The 14,673-nt window shown below is 38.9% G+C and overlaps 1 long non-coding RNA gene across 1 annotated transcript in view, besides 2 other annotated features; it reads left to right on the top strand.

The window, feature by feature from the left end:
- Positions 1 to 14,673, top strand: part of LINC01248 (long intergenic non-protein coding RNA 1248) — a 56,978-nt gene that overhangs the window by 31,808 nt on the left and 10,497 nt on the right. The window contains exon 3 of the long non-coding RNA NR_110580.1: positions 9,400 to 9,472. This is a non-coding gene — a long non-coding RNA (long intergenic non-protein coding RNA 1248). The remainder of the gene's footprint in view (positions 1 to 9,399; positions 9,473 to 14,673) is intronic.
- Positions 2,651 to 3,150: an enhancer, noted in NCBI's record as "H3K4me1 hESC enhancer chr2:5796293-5796792 (GRCh37/hg19 assembly coordinates)". NCBI's record gives its function as "activates a minimal SCP1, AML or CMV promoter by ChIP-STARR-seq in naive H9 embryonic stem cells {active_cell/tissue: H9 hESC(naive)}" and the evidence as "EXISTENCE:reporter gene assay evidence [ECO:0000049][PMID:30033119]".
- Positions 3,151 to 3,652: an enhancer, noted in NCBI's record as "H3K4me1 hESC enhancer chr2:5795791-5796292 (GRCh37/hg19 assembly coordinates)". NCBI's record gives its function as "activates a minimal SCP1, AML or CMV promoter by ChIP-STARR-seq in naive H9 embryonic stem cells {active_cell/tissue: H9 hESC(naive)}" and the evidence as "EXISTENCE:reporter gene assay evidence [ECO:0000049][PMID:30033119]".

Below are 14,673 nucleotides of genomic sequence, written 5' to 3'. Positions count from 1 at the left end.
CACTCCCCAATAGCATATACATATGTGTATTTGAATATGTAATATGAAATATATGTATATGATTTTTTATATAGTATGAAATAATACTATGAGAATTAACTGAAGTAAAATTTGTAAAGAAAGGAAATCTGTAGAAAGATTTTAGCACAACTATTTAAATAGTATTGCCTCACAAAATTTCAGATCCAGCTATCTATAAAAATTCGTATACACATCATATGTATTACAGACAAAAGAAAGGTAAAGAATTGCTTTTTTTTTCACAACAAGACTATAAGGTTCAATGCAATTACGTTAAACATTAAAGGGGAAAATGAGGACCTAAAACATTGCATTTAAAGTAAAAATATATAGTTTCCAAATAAGGGTTTGAGGCACTTCCTAAAAAGCAAAATATGCAACTTAGTGCACTGATTTTATGATTTTTAAGGGTATTTAGAGATTTCTGTTGCTTTAACTTTATGATTATGATTGTGATTATTTTGAGATGGAGTCTTGCTCTGTCGCCCAGGCTGGAGTGCAGTGGCGTGATCTCCGTTCACTGCAAGCTCCCCCTCCCAGATTCACGCCATTTTCCCGCCCCAGCCTCCCGAGGAGCTGGGACTACAGGCAGCCTCCACCACGCCTGGCTAATTTTTTGTATTTTTAGTAAAGACAGGGTTTCACTGTGTTAGCCAGGATGGTCTCGATCTCGTGACCTCGTGATCCTCCCGCCTCGGCCTCCCAAAGTGCTGGGATTACAGGCGTGAGTCACCACGTCTGGCCTAAGTTTATTATCTCAATTTATTTTCTCTATTGTGGCATGCCATACATGTGGCTTCCCTCAGACATTGCTATTAGTATCTAATATTGTAACAAGGGCTCTTTGGAGCCTCAGGAAGGAAAGAAGTAGAGGAAGGAAAGATCCAGCCTGAAGGGTGCAGGGCTGAGGAAGAACTGCAAAGAAGCTCAGTGCTGGCCAGGGCAATGGGAAGAATTTGGAGGTGGGTACAGGGACAGGAGGCAAGCAGAGTCTTGCAGGGGTAGTTTGGGGTAGGATTCAATGATAGGGGTTATCAAGGGGGTTTCCACTGTGGGACTTGCCCTGTGTGTAGCCTCATGGCTCCCTGCCCTGAGATTGGCATTGATGATGCAGAGGTACTTGGTTATGTATCATGACAATCATCCCATAGTATAATTTGGCTTAATCACGTTTTTCTCCTAATGGTGTCAGTTTTGCATATGGATGAGACATGGCTTTCTTCGAGGGATGGAAATGGGTAATTATTGCCAGTAATATTCAATACATTTTACTAATGCATGCTCTAATTTAATTTCCCCATCTTTAGAGTGAGCATGGTTTTGGAGACAGAAGGACATCCTCCTGATTCCTCTCTATGTGATTTTGGACTCATTCAAAACTTTAGCTTCCTTGTCAGGAAAACAGGGAGTTGGTGTGGGACAGATGTGCCACACAGTGGAGCCCATGGCCTGTGAGGTCACTGAGACTGGGAGCTCCGCATCCTACTGGAGAACTAAGCCTCTTCTGAGTGTGGCCTGTCCACGTCCTTCTGTGGACAGAGTTACTACATTCAATTTGAATAGACATTAATTTTTAATTTTGTCTTTACATTTATGTGAAAAGTATTTTAAGCCTGAAAGTGTCATGGATATGGATAGTTTCTCTTTATTAATGGGCATTTTGAGCTCCTGATCCTTTTTGGGTGCAAGATATCTTGAAAGAGGTTCTTTAAATGCATGCCGTGGGAAGCTTGTGCATTTTTGAAACCCAATACACAAGTAATAAGAAATAACTCATATTTGAAATTCCTGTCACAGTGCAAACGTGGCCTTCGTGCTGATGGAGAGGCTGCAAATGAATGATATCTGGGTTCCTAAATACCACGGAGCTCACACACTCATCCTCCTACAGAGAGTAAGATATAGCTCAGCACTGCCCAGGCCAGAAATAGCTTGAGAGTTTAAATTCCTTCATGGCATTTAGAAACAACAGTTGTAGGGAGAAAGGTCTATAGTCATGGCAATATTGCCTAATGATATTTTTTTCTGTGATGGTCATTTTATAATATTATTTAAAAGTTTTTTTTAGTTAAACAAGCAATGGAAATTTGAACAGAAAAATATGAAATTAAAACAATTAAAACTACCCATAATCACACTAGACTGTGATAACCAAACTGTGAATATTTTGGTTTCATAAGCTTTTAATCTTTTTCCTTAGGTATATAAAAATATTTAAGAACCAAAGAGAATTATATCACAATGGGTATATCAACTTAGTATCAGTTTTACTCATTGTATATGCCAAAGGTAACCTACTTATCCTTTGACTACAAGAGCTTTCTAAATGTCTGTATAATATTACATCAGATGAATGCGATACAATTTATTTTAAATATTTTCTTATTGCATATTTAGATTGTTTCTAATTTTTGAGTATGATCAACAATTCTTTGACCAGTATTCCTATAGCTAAGTGCTTATGTTGTAGGTCTGATTATTTCCTTAGTACAAATTTCTAACAGTGGAGTGTCAGTCAAAGGGTATGTACAATGTAAACATGTAGATGTGTACTGTCAAATTATCCTCCACCAAGTTCCTAAAATATGCATCTTTACTGTCATGGTGTAACTACCAAAGTCCTGTACCCTTGAAAACATAGATTATTATTTCAGAACATCTTTATCAGTTTAAAAGACAAACTATGCTACCCTCTTGTTGTTAGTAAAGTGCATTTCTTTGATTACTCCCCTTTTACAGAAGAGTAAATGAAGATTCAGTAAGTTTGTGTGAGTTATGCATGGGTGCATAGATAACGCGTGCAGAAAGCAATCACTTCAGTTTTCCATATTTGAGGTCCTCTCTGGGCCAGTACAGTTCGAGACACTAGAAATTCAAAACCACAGATAATGCCCTCCTGGGCCTGTAGGATGTCCTTGTTAGGTGGCAGGGGAGAGGCCCAACCAGTGCCCACAACAATGTCATAGCCCCAGGTGAGTGTGGGAGGGGAAGTTGTGGAAATATTTTCCAGCCAAAGAAATCAGTGAAGTAAAGATAGGCAGGAGGCAGGCAAAAAGGAGGCAGAACTGGCAGGTTGTGGGGGCAGGAGTGGCCACGGATGAGGAGCCAGGCTTGGCAACACAGGTGCAGGTGGCACGTGTCATAGGCACAGGCGTGGAGATCTGAGGGCGCAGAGGGGAGAAGACCGTGCACCGCCAATGTCAACTGTGTGGAAGCAAACCTGGGCTACATCTAAGAGTCCTGAGAGCAGGGGAGGAGAAGGGAGGAAGAGACAACAGAAGTCCTGGGTGGGAAGCAGAAATATTTCCTGAGTCAATGAAAGAGCCCCAAGCCTCCAGACCTGCCAGGGCTCAAGCAGGCAGCTCCAGATGCCAAGACCTATAATCTAGCAGTTCAGGTTGATTTTGCCAGAGTAGTGTGAAGAGGCCCTGATTTTCCCCTTTAATGTATACCCATACAAAAGGCAGAAGAGTTGTTTGAAAAGCAGGAGATTCACAGTTACAAGCACATAGGAAGCACAAGAAAAACTGGTAGAAGGGATCTGGGCCCTTCAATGTTGACAGCCTTCTCTAGGAGCCCTGGCTACAACAGAATGAGGAGGATCCTTGGGGGGTATAAAAAGGTGGGAAGGAGAACAAGCCAAACAAAACACCACCCTCAGGACCACAGAGAAGTTATTTCAGGAGATGCATTGATTCCATGTTTTTGTTTTCATAGGTTGCTGTTTTGTAACTTTTTTTTTCTTAGGTGAAAGAATTAAGGGTCCTCCCCAACTGTCTGAAGAAAGATATGCCTGTCATGAAGCATGCGCTTACTTACTTTGAAGGGGACAAGCCTTTTCTAGCTTCAATATTTATTTCCTATTTTGATGGGGAAACTTTTAGGGAAGTAGAAAGAGAGCTTAAAGCCTTGGGGGAGACATTTTACGTGCTTGCTAAAAAAACGCATTAAAACATTTAGTACATGTCCTGAATGTAACCCAGCCCTCCAGAGCTATTTTTTTCTCACTGTACTAGTCCATTTTCATACTGCAATAAAGAACTGCCTGAGACTTGCTTAATTTATAAAAGAAAGAGGTTTAATTGACTCACAGTTCAGCATGGCTGGGGAGGCCTCAGGAAACTTACAATCATGGTGGAAGGTGAAGGGGAAGCAAGGCACCTTCTACACAAGGTGGCAGAAAGGAGAAGTGCTAAGCAAAGGGGAAGAAGCCCCTTATAAAACCATCCGAGCTTGTGAGAACTCACTCACTATCATGAGAACAGCATGGGGAAAACCATCCGCATGATTCAATTACCTCCACCTGGTCTCTCCTTTGACAAATAGGGATTATGGGGATTATGGGGATTACAATTCAAGATGAGATCTGGGTGGGGACACGAAGCCTAACCATATCAGGGGAGGGGGCTCACAACTGAATATTTCAGATAATTTTAATATGTGCTGGTATCCACAAACAAGAGCCAATGTGGACTCAGCAGGCAATGTCATGGGCCTTCTGTTTCAAAAATGATTCAGATAGACTTTTATGCTTTTACATGTGCCATATGGGAGTGGGGCATTCTCTTCTTGTTCCTTGTTTTACCCTCAGCATCTACCTTTCATAGCAGTAACTGATGATCATGAAATGTTTGTTGATTGAATGGCTGAAGTATAGACAGATGCAGCTTCTGTCCATGAAAGGCACCCTGCTTGCTCCTTGCACTGTGTCCAGTGAAAACTCTCGTTTCTCTGCGCAGCTGCAACAGGTTTCACATCACAAGGAGCACAACGCACTGGCTTCCATTTCCACCCTGAAGCTCAGCAGCCCCATTTGCATCCCATCAGCTGCCTGCTCCGGAATAGAGGAGGGAAGGGCTGGGCTTCAGAGTTTGCTTTTTTTTCTCGGTTCTGTGAATGGAAAATTTCAAAGGATCCTGTGAAGGGATCCAGATTGATACCTTGGGGTCTGGTGTATGTAGGTCTGTTTGTGTTAACTCACCATTTAAAGACAGAAAAAAGGAAAACATATATATTTATAGCCTCCTAGAGAGAGCCTTGGTGCTAGTTTTGATGGCTTGCTGGGAACAGAAGTGAAGCCAAGGGGGGTGTTGTGGTTGGGAGCATTGATTTTGGGAGGAGAGTGGTGCTGGTATCATTTAGGGAGGGACAACAAGATGCTCCTGTGGACCACCACTGATTCTCTCACGCTGATGACATCTGGCAGTAGTGACAATGTGATGGGAGCCCAAAGAGGGGAGGGTCTTGTAGAAATTTCATGTGGTTGCATCAACTTCAGCTATTGGTAACTGGTGGATAGCCAAGCAGCAGGAGTAGGGCAGAATACCATGAGCCCGTGAACCAGGCAGAGAGTTGAATGACATGAACTTGAGTCAGGGAGGAGAAAACTAGGGGTGGGGCACATCTTTGATTAGTGAGTAACCAACAATGTGGACCCCCAGAGGGCTTAAGGCCCTTCGCTGGAGAACTAGATGGTTATCCCTGGGTCCTGTTATTGAGGCTAGCTTCTCTCAAGTTTCAACGCTAGTCAGATCACCATATCTAAATCATGGAAGGTGTACCACTGGTTATGTTAAGAGGTGATGTTTGAATATTTAGACGGAGATAATCAAAGTATTACAAAAATGACAAAGGATTCAATGCAGTAAACAAGTTAATTTACACACCAGAGTCAAAATTTCACAAATATTATTGCATAGAGTGAAGATAAATTTTTAAAATTTAAATTAATTTAACAAAATAAACATAGTACTTAAATGTGGCTTTTTTGGTATAGATTATTTTCTTATTCAAGATTTTTCCTTTCCTAGTTTATAAGTATTTTGTTGCTATTCTTTCACTCTCTGAAAATTGCAAAATGCATACTTAACTTTTCAAATACAAGTTTTTCCAAAAATTGTATACATCTCCTGAAAACGAGTGCCTTTGAAGATGGCAACTCCATTTCTGCTCCCTCTAATTCACGAGTTATTCTTGACTTGTTTTGTGGAATTAATTAGTTTCTTCTTTTTCTTAATGGCAAAAACTATTTGTCATGATTTTTGCATGTTTCCTACCTTCTTGATCTTCATCTTTTTCTCTGATTTAATTACATCCTTTTCTGAGGATATGCTGCAGATAAACTCTCTTTTTTTGTTTGCCCAAGAATGTCTGCATTTCATCCTACTCTTAAAAAGTGGGTCCTAGAAATTCTAGGTTGGCAATTATTTTTTATTAGCACTTTGGTGATCTCATTCTTCTGGCATCCATCTTTCATCATTTCTGTTGAGTAGTTAGTGGTCAATGCCATTCTGCTGCCTTGAAAGTAAGCTGTTTTATTCACTACCTTGTGGATTTATGCATGTTCGTGGTTGTTCTTTGGTTTTACTATTGTTTTTGGTTTGTCCAACTCACCATGACATGTTCAAGTGTAGTTTTATGTTTGTGTACCCTCTATAGATTTAGGAACTTCCCGTTGGCTTTCTTTTGATGTAGGGAATCAGTCATTATCTTAAAATATTACTTACAAACATTGTCTCTGTTCTATGTTCTTTCTCCTCTTTGTTTAGGAATCCACGTAAAAACATGGTAAAATGTCTCACTGCCTCTGTTTTGCTGTGATGCATTCTGCATAATTTCTTCTGACTGATCTTTGGATTCACTAATACCTACTTTAGCTACTACAAAATAGTGAACAGCCCTTGCATTTAAAAATCTATTTTTTGCATCTTTCTCTTTTAGAAATGTTCTTTGTTTCCTTTTTCACACATTCCAGTCATTTAAAAAATATTTATTTTATTTTAGATTCAATGGGTCCATGTGAATGTTTGGTAAATGGGTATATTGCATACTGGTGGGGATTGGGCTTCTAGTTCACCCATTACCCAAATAATGAATATTGTACCTAATAGGTAGTTTTTCAACACTCACATCCTCTCCCCTTTGGGAAACCTCAGTTTCTATTATTTCCATCTTTATGCCCATGTGTACCAATTGTTTAGCTTCCACTTGTAGGTGAGAACATGCAGTATTTTATTTTCTGTTTCTGAGTTAATTCACTCAGAATAATGGTCTCCACCTCCATCCATGTTGCTTCAAAGGACATGATTTCATTCTTTTTTATGGTGGTGTAGTATTACATGGTGTATATATATATCACATTTTCTTTATCCAATCAATTATTGATGGACCCATAGGTTAGACTTAGGTTGGTTCCATGACTTTGCTATTGTCATGGTATTGTCCTATAATGATTTGTTCTCCTTTGGGTAGGTGTCCAATTATGAATATTTCTGGGTCAAATGGTAGTTCTGTTTTCAGTTCTGTGAGATATCTTCATACTGTTTTCCATAGAGCTTGAACTAATTTATATTCCCACCAATAGTGTATAAACGTTCTCTCTTTGCTCTGCATCCAAGTCAACCTCTGTTTTTTGCTTTTTTCAACTTTTTAATAACAGCCATTCTGACTGATATAAGATGATATCTCATTGTGGTTTTAATGAGCATTTCTTTAATGATTAGTGATTCTGAGCATTTTTTCATGTGTTTGTTGGCTGCTTGCATTTTTTTTTTGAAAAATGTCTGTTCATGTCCTTTGCCCAGTTTTTAATGGGGTTGTTTATTTTTCTCTTCTTGGATTCTTTGAGGTCCTTGTAGATTCTTGATATTAGTCCTTTGTCAGAGGCATATTTTGCAATTCTGTTTTTTTTTTTCAAGCATGGCGAGAAAGATTTTATTCAGGACCAGAGCAATAGTTACAGGGACCACCGAAATGTTGTCTGACAGTGGGGAAGAGAGATTCCATGCTGGTCATTTTTAACAGCTTTCTTTTATTATTATTGTTATTATTATTATTATTATACTTTAAGTTCTAGGGTACATGTGCACAACGTGCAGATTTGTTACATATGTATACCTGTGCCATGTTGTCGTGCTGCACCCATTAACTTGTCATTTACATTAGGTATATCTCCTAATGGTATCCCTCCCCCGTCCCCCTACCCAACGACAGGCCCTGGTGTGTGATGTTCCCCTTTCTGTGTCCAAGTGTTCTCATTGTTCAGTACCCACCTATGAGTGAGAACATGCGGTGTTTGGTTTTCTGTCCTTGCGATAGTTTGCTGAGAATGGTGGTTTCCAGCTTCATCTATGTCCCTACAAAGGACATGAACTCATCCTTTTTTATGGCTGCATATTTGACAGCTTTTTTTTGCTGAGATTATTTCAAGTGTGTTCTAGCTTTGGACGTTATGAGAAGAGTTGTTTTACAAAATTTTTCTCTGATTATTTTTAAATCTAGGGTCTTTGTAGAACTTTTTCTTTCTCCACTATTTCTTCTAGTTCTCTGTAATGGTTATATGTATATATATATATATGATACATATGTACTTATCTACCAGCTATATACATCATAATAGGTGATACATACATATGCTGTGAGTGCATTATTTTCCTTGGAATATTATTGTGGAGATTCTTTCAGGATGAGGAGGAACTGCACATTTGTTTCTATTAGGTATTGGGAACTGTTTTAAACTAAATTTATAGCTTGAGTTTTTGAGATTGTAATTTATGCAACAGCAGCATTTTCCCCACGCTTTGTTCAGCACCAGCGAACACTTTCTTGCCGACACATGGAAGCAGGAGTTGGGTAGTCTGGGTTTACTTTTGGTTTATGCTTATTGTGAAATTATAGCTCTTTGGAGGTCTTGTTTCATAGGGGGAAAGTCTTCTATGATCACATGCGTGTTGCTGGGGACTTGAGATTTTTTCCTTCTTCCATATCACTCCACAGAGACTGAAAAACTGAAGCTCAAATTCACGGCTTTCATGAATTCTCCAAGGGCCAAAGGGAATTCAACATTTAGCTTTCTTTTCTGAGATCAAGACATCACTTAGATTTTGGTCTTGTAATTCCTTACCATCTTGTATGATCTTTGTTGCACCAAAATCTTCTTTTTCTTCTATCTTATCCAGAATTTCTAGTTGTTTTTATCAAGAATGTGGGTTTGAACAACTGAGCATATTATTTTATTGGAAAAGTGAAATTGCCTTTTACTACCAATTCCTAATTATCCAGAGGATCTAGAAAAAATGGATTTAACTCTTTGGCCAATTAAAACACAAATTTATTCCAAAAATGGATTATCTGTTCTTATAAAGCTATAGTATATTAAAAGATATTTAATACATAAATAACAGTAAACAAAGTATCCTCTACTATGGTTTGAAAATTATTTAGAATCTTGCAATTGTCCTGGGTCTCTCTAAATGCTAATGATCACCAATGAGTTTGACAAATAGAGATGTTACAAGTGATTGGTTTAAATCTTTGATGCACCTTAAATGTATTTTAAAATGTGCCCCTAACTCTTTATTTTACCTGACTGTATTTCAGTGCATCAGTTTAAGGGAAGACATGAGATCATGGGTTTAAGTGAGGCTTCATCATGCCAAGACAACGTGATCAGGTAAGTACTTGCCCCTCTACATGTCAGCATTCTCACCTGTAACATAGTACAAACAGGACTTTGTTTGAGTCCCTTGCAACATTTCGTGGAGCATCAAATAAAATAAAGACCGTGAATATGCTTTGTAAACCTTGAGTTTCTATACATATGCAAATATAAGTACTGGTAAGATATAGAATGAACAAGAGAAATAGAATCCTATTTTTATGTTTCAATTTTATGGATTGCTGGAAAATTGAAGTGTATAGGAGTCTTCTTGTAGTCGCTCACTAGAATGCCTTTGGCTGGGTTTACTGGTATTGCACGAAAACAGCTGTTAGCAAAGACAAGACTTAGGCACCCAACAAGACCTTTTATTTTCACATGACTGAGCCTCTGATTTCAATATGCGTTCCGTGTTTTTCCCAGAAGTTCTTTTGTGTTATGTACAATTACTCTGCTGAACAGATTGTATTTGTTTTTTTCTTTGTTTTTTTTTGTTTGTTTTGTTTTGTTTTGTTTTACTGTGAGACAGTGATGCCAATGCTTGTGTATTTAGGATGGGGGTCACAGACTCTGTACTTCCAGGAGAAGCCCCCAGAAGGTCTTAGCTGGCTCCTGAGGGGGCACATTCGCTGTGCTCACTGCACTTTACCTGGTGCCATGAAGCATAAAGAGCACAAACTTGGACACCAAGAGTCTACATTAAAGTCCCACTCCTTTATGTTTGTAAATATGGGATATTGGGAAGTTGCTGCACCTTTTTTTGCTCATTTTCTTCACTGAACAGCAGAACTAGAAAAATTTCTTCTTAATAGGGCTTAAAGGAGACTCAAATACAACACTGTATATGATGTTCTTTTGCAAATTGTAAAGCAAAGTACAAAGTTTCAAATATATTCATTATACATATATATCTAGCTCTTTATTCCATTTGGTTCAAAAAATTTATGTGTTTCAAAAAATTATGGAGGTGATACATATCTAAGTAGAGGATTTGTCAAATATAAATATCATGATGTACAAACAAGGCTGGACAGCTTTTATTAACACATTGTCTGCAGCACAAAAAAACAATGCCTGGGCCTGAATAGGAACCATATGAAAATATTTCTTAAATCAATGAAAGATTATTTAATAATTAAGAAAAACTGGCCAGGCGTGGTGGTTCATGCCTGTAGTCCCAGCACTTTGGGAGGCTGAGGCGTGCGGATCACGAGGTCAGCAGATTGAGACCATCCTGGCTAACACGGTGAAACCCCATCTCTACTAAAAATATAAATATTAAAAAAAAAAAAAAAAAAAACTAGTCAGGCGTGGTGGCGGGCGCCTGTAGTCCCAGCTACTCGGGACGCTCAGGCAGGAGAATGGCGTGAACCCGGGAGGCGGAGCTTGCAGTGAGCCGAGATCGCGCCACTGCACTCCAGTCTGGGCAACAGAGTGAGACTCCGTCTCAAAAAAAAAAGAAAAAAAAAAAAAAGGCAAAGACAAGGGTGAGTTTAGAAGGTGAAATCTGTGCTGTATATACTAAGAAATTGCTTGGGATGACTCATTTGATTCTGAATATCTGCATTAGCCAGTGCAGGCTGGCGTAACTAAATGCCACAGACTGGATGGCATAAGCAGCAGAATTTCATTCTGTTACAGTTTTGGGGGCAGGGAAGTCCAAGATCATGAAGCTGGAAGGGTTTGGCGTCTGTTGGGGCCTCTTACCGGCTTGGGCTGCTTTTTCCTTATGTGGCCTTTATACATGTGAGGTCAAGGGGAGAGACATCTGTCTCTTTCTTTCAGTATAAAGCCACCAATCCTAGTAGACTGAGGTCCCACCCATATGACCTAATTTGACCTTAAGTGCCAACTAAAGGCCCTGCCTGTCTTCAGAAACAGTCACATGAGGGATCAGAACTTTTATACATAAGATTTTTGCAGGGACACAATTCAATCCAAAGCAATATCTTATCAAGATAACGATATGTTTGGCTACGTCTCCACCCAAATCTCATCTTGAACTGTAGTTCCCATAATCCCCACCTGACATGGGAGGGACCTGGTAGAAGGTGATTTTATCATGGGAACAGTTACCTCCACGCTGTTCTCCTGATAGTAAGTGAGTTTTCATGAGATCTGATGGTTTTATAAGGGGCTTTTCCCTCCTTTTTCCCACCTCTCTTTGCTGCCGCCATGTGAAGGACATATTTGCTTCCCCTTCTGCCATGATTGTAAGTTTCCTGAGGCCTCCACAGCCATGCCGAACTGTGAGTCAATTAAACCTTTTTCCTTTATAAATGTCCCAGTCTTGGGTATGTCTTTATTAGCAGCTTGAGAAGAGACAACTACGGATAATATGATTGGTTAGACAATTTGAGAATCTTTATAATATTTTTCAAAAGAAACATAAATGTTGTATTTTTTGTCAATAACTGTTTGGTGAGCAAGGAATTTAATTTCTTTGAATGTGTTTTTGTACTTGTGAAATAGGGATTATAATTCGTGCATTGACTTAATGTTATTATAACACTCAAAGAATGTATCGTGCACTAGTCCTCAGTAAACTGTAGCAAAGCCCTTGGGTTACACATGTGAGTTGTCATCATTCGGTATTCCCCTTGCCATGGGAGGGGAAAGAAGCATGTATGACCTGCACTGCGATGCACACATGGGCCCCCTGGAGATGTGGAGCAGGTGATGGATCTTCAGTCTCCGTTAGAACCTTATTATTGGACATTTAGAAAAAGGCAGAAAAAGTTAGCAGCTCCAGAACTGCTGGATCGTGATTGTGCTTCTGTTTTGTATATATCTCCATTGACTTCAAGTTACTGCCCACTCGGACCTACGATTCCAATCCCCCTCCCCATTCACCTACAGAATAATGAGACTGTGATTTAAACTAGAAAGCCAGTAGCTTTTCTTCTTTATTTTCTTTGAGTGATAGCCACAAAGGGGAGAGTTTAAGAAATAAGTCGTTGCTTGCATAAAGACTGCAGAGAAAAACCTTCATTTGTTTATTTTTTTCCTTTCTTCTATTTTCTATTCTAAAGCTGCATGTGGTCTCCTCCTAAAAGGAGTTTACCTGTAGCATATTAAACATGTCTAAGACACTTCTGAATATTTGAATATAAATTATTTACATAACTTGTTAATTTATTTGTTTATATAAAAGATATGGTGGGTCAATTGGGTAAATAGCTAGCACACTGCAGACTACCTTGGCCTTTTTTTCTACCTGAATGCCTTGTGGCAATGAAAGAGTTGTGAAAAGGAGCAAAGAAGAAAAAGCAATTTATAGTCAAATTTTGAGAATTTTTAAAAGAGGAGGAAGAGGAAAACAATTTGACAGAGAAAGGATGAAGGGAGGAAAGTAAGAAGAAAATAAAGGATCATATGTTAAAATCAGAAAGAAATATACAAAAACCTAAAGATGACATTGGAATCAATGAAAGCAAATATACTAGGGTCAAGTTTTTGCCTCTCATCTCTAATCTAACACAGTCTATGTCAAATAGTTACAGCATCATAACTTCTGTCCTCTTTATTCAGAATTAGCAAAGTCTGAACTGACTTACCTGAACAGGAAGAACTAGTTGAGTAATCTCTTTTAGCAGCATGGTAGTGGAAAATTTTAGAATCATATAAACTTAGGTTGAAAATTCTACTCCTTTACTCTCCCGCCCTGTGACTTCAGGTAAGCTTGTTGATCTTTCCAACTTCAGTTTCTTCTTCTGTAAAATGGAGATAGTAGGACCTACCTTATATATTAAATATACATATAAACCATAGAGATGCCTCTGAAATTAGCATAAGCTCCTTTGGAAATTGAAAATGGCAATGTTTGGGATAACTTTCACCGTTTATGTGTTTGCTGAAGGTAAAAATATCAGTTAAAAATATCTTTCACTGAAACAAGAGGAAATTTACTCTTCAATAGGAATACTTTATGCATCGAGCAGAGATATAGAGAAATTACATGTGTCTCTAGGTTCCTTGGCTTCCAGTAGTATTTTATTTGTGCAAGTTTTGTGTTTTGTAAAAGCTAGAAGGTCAATAATCAAAATGGCATTTGATTGCTTATTCATTATTTGGTGGTGCAAACATGTAGAACATTTTCTGTTTCTATTTCTGGCAAACGGAAGGGATGGTAAAACTAGACGCAATATTGGACGAACATTAGCGGCCCAGGACTGGCCTCAGTCATTGAAACTTTGATTAAGAACTCTGGGTATGATGGATAATTTTTGTGTCAAATTCACTTAGACATGAGGTGCCCAGACTAAACATGGGTCCTGGCTATGCCTGTGAGGCTGTTTCTGTATGAGATTAGCGTTTGAATCAGCAGACTGAGTAAAGCAGGTGGCCCTCCACCGTGTGAGTGGGCATTATCCAATTCATTGAGACCCGAATAGAACAGAAAGCACAGGAAGGGTGACTTCACCCTCTGCCTCACTGCTTGAGCTGACACATTAGCCCCCTGTGCTGTTCTTGACTGGGTCTTATACCATCGACACTTTGGTTCTCTCAACTACATCACTGCCTTTCCTGGGTCTCCAGCTGCAGATGGCAGATCGTGAGACTTTCAGCCCCCATAATCACATGAGCCAATTTCTTATAATAAACTCCCTCTCACTCCTTCTTTCCCTCTCTCTCTGTCTATATACATATATACACACACACACACGTATTAAATATATATGTGTATATATATACACACACACGCGCGCGCACACACACACACACATACTCTTGATTCTGTTTCTATAAAGAACTCTGATTAATACAAAGGGCAATTTCAAGGATTTGATTATATATATAAAATATTAAATCCCTTATACATATAACATCGTGTGTGTGTGTGTGTGTCTCCTTTCACTGAGTTACCTCCTGATTTTTATGACTTTAGGATGAGAACCAGGGCTATTTTTCTAATAACACAGATACCTTTCCTGAGAAAAATCATCCTAGCCATCCACAATGGCAAAGATCACATATGTGTATGCATGTTCGTGTGTTCACATATGTGTGCATGCATGTATACATGTCTGCATGACCACATATGTGTATATATGTGTATTAGTCAGCGTTCTCTAGAGGGACAGAACTGATAGAATAGATGTACATATAAAAGGGGGTTTATTAAAGAGAATCAATTCACGTGATTACAAGATAAATTCCCATGATAGGCCATCTGCACGTTGAGGAGCAAGGAAGCCAGTGGTGGATCAGTCCAA

The sequence above is a fragment of the Homo sapiens genome, chromosome 2 (assembly GCF_000001405.40).
Source record: "Homo sapiens chromosome 2, GRCh38.p14 Primary Assembly".
In the NCBI taxonomy this organism is placed as follows: domain Eukaryota; kingdom Metazoa; phylum Chordata; class Mammalia; order Primates; family Hominidae; genus Homo; species Homo sapiens.
This window is presented reverse-complemented; position numbering and strand designations above follow the sequence as displayed.